Genomic DNA, 4,270 nt, shown 5'->3' with positions numbered 1-4,270 from the left:
GCGGGACTGGCGGGCAGCTCCACCTGCTGTCCGGTGTGGAATCCACTAGGTGAAGCCAGCTGGGCTCCTGAGTCTAGTGGGGACTTGGAGAACCTTTATGTCTAGCTAAGGGATTGTAAATACACCAATCAGCACTGTGTCTAGGTCAAGGTTTGTAAACACACCAATCAGCACCCTGTGTCTAGCTCAAGGTTTGTTAATGCACCAATCAGTGCTCTGTGTCTAGCTAATCCAGTGGGGACTTGGAGAACCTTTATGTCTAGCTAAGGGATTGTAAATACACCAATCAGCACTCTGTGTCTAGCTCAAGGTTTGTAAATGCACCAATCAGCACCCTGTGTCTAGCTCAAGGTTTGTAAATGCACCTATCAGTGCTCTGTGTCTAGCTAATCAAGTGGGGACTTGAAGAACTTTTGTGTCTAGCTCAGGGATTGTAAATGCAACAATCAGCACCCTGTCAAAATGGACCAATCAGCTCTCTGCAAAACAGATGAATCAGCTCTCTGTAAAATGGACTAATCAGCAGGATGTGGGTGGGACCAGATAAGGGAATAAAAGCAGGCTGCCCCAGCCAGCAGTGGCAACCCGCTTCGGGTCCCCTTCCACACGGTGGAAGCTTTGTTCTTTTGCTCTTTGCAATAAATCTTGCTGCTGCTCAGTCTTTGGGTCTGCACTGTCTTTATGAGGTGTAACACTCATTGCAAAGGTGTGCAGCTTCACTCCTGCGCCAGCGAGACCACGAACCCACAAGAAGGAAGAAACTCCGAATACATCCGAACATCAGAAGGAACAAACTCCGGACACGCGGACTTTACGAACTGTAACACTCACCGCGAGGGTCCGCGGCTTCATTCTTGAAGTCAGTGAGACCAAGAACCCACCAATTCCGGACACAGTAAGACAGCACTCCTGTGGAACTGCTTCATGGAATTTAAGAAACTTGGTTTCAGAGCTGGTAGACTCCTTTAAATCACCAATGTGTTTTAGCAGAAACCTACAACACACTGAGAATATCAATGAACCTCAAGATGTTTAATAGCCAGTATTTTTGTGACTGTCCCTTGAATTAGACATGCTAGCCACAGGGAGCAAAGGAAGTGAGGTGGGGCAGAGAGTGGGTGGGGATGAGGCTAGTTTTGCCCCACTGTGTTTCCATGAAGTTTTGTATAAAGTGGACTTTATGGTGTTTGCTGAAACCCATCTGCAGGGGAAAGGTTTGTTTGAACTTGAGGTAAAATAAGCTACCAGCTACTGTACTTCCTGGCCTGCCTCAGTGAGCCAGCCAGGAAGGGGTTATCCCCAGGCACTTCTCTCCCTCTGACCCCACTGCAGAGGTACTGCTTGTGCTGCCCTAATGAATACACTCTTCCTCGCCTCCTGAATTTGCTCTTTTACCTAAACGGAAACAAATACTGAAAATATAAGACGTGTTATTGCAAAAAGAAGGAGTAAAGTCAGAGTCTGTGACTTTCCCACACATCAGTGGAAGCTGGTGTTTTTTGAATAGAAGTCATCTCTGTATGGCTGGCTGTCAGACAGAACCTCCCACACAGAAGGGACCCACACTGGGTTTCTTTCTCCTGTCTTACCATCCTGGGATTCTTACTGATTATCTTTAAACTTACAGTTTATAACTGAAGTCTGATGGGACACTGGAGCATGGGCTTGAGCAGATGAAATATGTGGAAGCAAGGAAGGAGCTTTGTAGTTTAGTACTTAATAGCACTTCCCCCTGCTTTTTGAACAAGAGATGCTGCATTTTCATTGGTACTGGGCTTCACGAATTGTGTAACTAGTCCGGTCTCTCTGTGGATCTCTACTGTTTTTTATTCTACTAATAACAGCATACTTGTATTAGTCAGGGTTCTCCAGAGACACGGAACGAATAGAATATATACAGATATACAAGAAGAGACTTGTTATGGGAATTGGCTCATGTGATGATGGAGGTCAAGAAGCCCCACTATACACTGAAGCCAACTGGAGAACCAGGAAAACTGGTGGTGTAATTCAGTCCAAGACTTAAGGCTTGGGAACCTGGGGGGCTACTGGTGTAAGTTCTGGAGTCCAAAGGTCCAAAAACCAGGACCACCCACGTCCCAAGGCAGGGGAAGATGGATGGCCCAGATCAAGCAGATAGAGAAAATTCACGCTTCCGCCACCTCTTTGTTCTCTTGAGGCCCTCAATGCATTGGATGGTGCCCACCTGCATTGATGAGGGTGATATTCTGTACTAAGTCTACTGATGGATTCAACGCTGATCTCTTTCAGAAACACCCTCAAAGACATACTTAAAATAATGTTTACAGGCTATCTGGGCATCCCTTAGCCCTGTTAAGTCAACACATATAATTAACTATCACAACATCTTTTTATTATTTTTGCCTATGAAGTGGTCATGTTAATCTGTTAAGCTTGTATTATGTTTTTCTGTAAATATTCTTGGGACTACTCTGTAGGCATCAGTTTATGAGACTCATGAAATAGTGTTAACTATTAGTACTAATGGCACTGGAAATTCTAAAATCAAGACCACGTAAGAGAACAAAGATGTGACAGTGAAATACACTTGCTGTGGATTCTGAAGGCATTTCTAAAAGATGTTCAGAAATGTAGCGTATAACTTCCCAAGATGACAATTTCAAAGAGATTTCATTTGGATACCTAAGTATTGGTAATTAAAAAACCAGGTCAGGTGCAGTGGCTCACGCCTGTAATCCCAGCACTTTGGGAGGCAGAGGTGGGCAGATCACGTGAGGTCAGGAGTTCGAAACCAGCTTGGCCAACATGGTGAAACCCCATCTCTACTAAAAATACAAAAATTAACCAAGAGTGGTGGTGGGCACCTGTAATTCCAGCTACTTGGGAGGCTGACACAGGAGAATTGCTTGAACCAGGGAGGCGGAGGTTGCAGTGAGCTAAGATTGCGCTGCTGAACTCCAGCCTAGGCAACACAGCGAGCCTCCATCTCAAAAAAAAAAAAAAAAATTAGTCTCAGTAGTATATAGTCATTACTAAAAAAATATGTGTAGAATTGGAGTAAAGCTGACGTCTTGCTATCTGATATGATTTTACATCTTAAAAAGAATGGAAGTTCCCACAGACCTGCTTTGGGTTAATGATGTAGTTCAAGAGTGTGAGTGTGAAACCTCTAGCAACTAACATTATCAATTCAGGTTAACCTTAGCTCCAGAAAAAAGATCTGTATCCAGCTAATTAAAAATACACACACACACATACCACACATTGTATATATGTATGTATAAAATCACCTCTAATTATGAGGGCACAATTTGCTTAGGTGGCAGGATGAGCTACTGGAAATCAATTGTGGTTGAGCAGTTTTTTGTGTCATGAACTTAATAGGACAGAATAAAAGCTGATTTGTGCTATGCTACCTACACCACCAGTCTCCCCCAAAAAAGGGGAAGACAGGAGTTTCTAAGAGTCAATGTTTATTAAACCTTATTGTGCTTAAGCAATATTTGAAAAGCCTTTTAAAATATGTAGACTTCTAGTGTGAACCTGGAAGAGCAGAGAACCTGGTTCTTTCAATCTGCAGTAAGACCCAGGTATTAATACATGTAATTACTGGAAAGAGTGTTTTCATTCCCTTGAGTTTCCTCTGACCTCTCTGGCTGCTCCTCTTTGACTTTTTTATTTTTTTTTTCTGCTGGTTTCTCCTCAGTTCTCTGACCTCTAAGCTTTAGTGTGATCAAGGGTTTGAACTTTTCGGTCTTCACTCACTCCCTTGATAATTTCAGCTATTCCTATGACTCCTAACCTATCCATATGATGCTGACTCTGAAATTTAGATCTCTAGCCTGATTGTTCCCTAAATCACAAAGATTAAGTGTCCATCTTCTTCCACAGCATTGCCTTTTGGATGTCTAATAGGCATTATCATAGTTTCAGGTGTTCAAAAACAGACTCTAAGAAAGGATTCAATTACTAGCTCTTGCTATTGTTGTTGTTTGTTTTATTTTGATGGAGAGGGATATGAAGGTAAGGAAATGGGGAAGTGAGACAAACAAATAAAGAAATCCAACAAAGAACTTATTATCAAGCCAGCTACCACTGTGGGAACTTGAGTATATTCTTACTTTCCAGAATTCTGAGGACTAGTATAAAACACAACCTCTTAGTTCTCCTAGCCAAAAGGTGAGGGAACTTGGGGTATTTATACACCAAATCCTGCCAGTTACTGGCTGATGGCTGCTCCTGGAAGGCATTAATTCCCCAGCACTTCCAGGGATGTTGGTGGTAAAGT

This window comes from Homo sapiens, chromosome 4, assembly GCF_000001405.40.
Source record: "Homo sapiens chromosome 4, GRCh38.p14 Primary Assembly".
In the NCBI taxonomy this organism is placed as follows: Eukaryota; Metazoa; Chordata; class Mammalia; order Primates; family Hominidae; genus Homo; species Homo sapiens.
Note: the sequence above shows the minus strand (reverse complement) of the source record.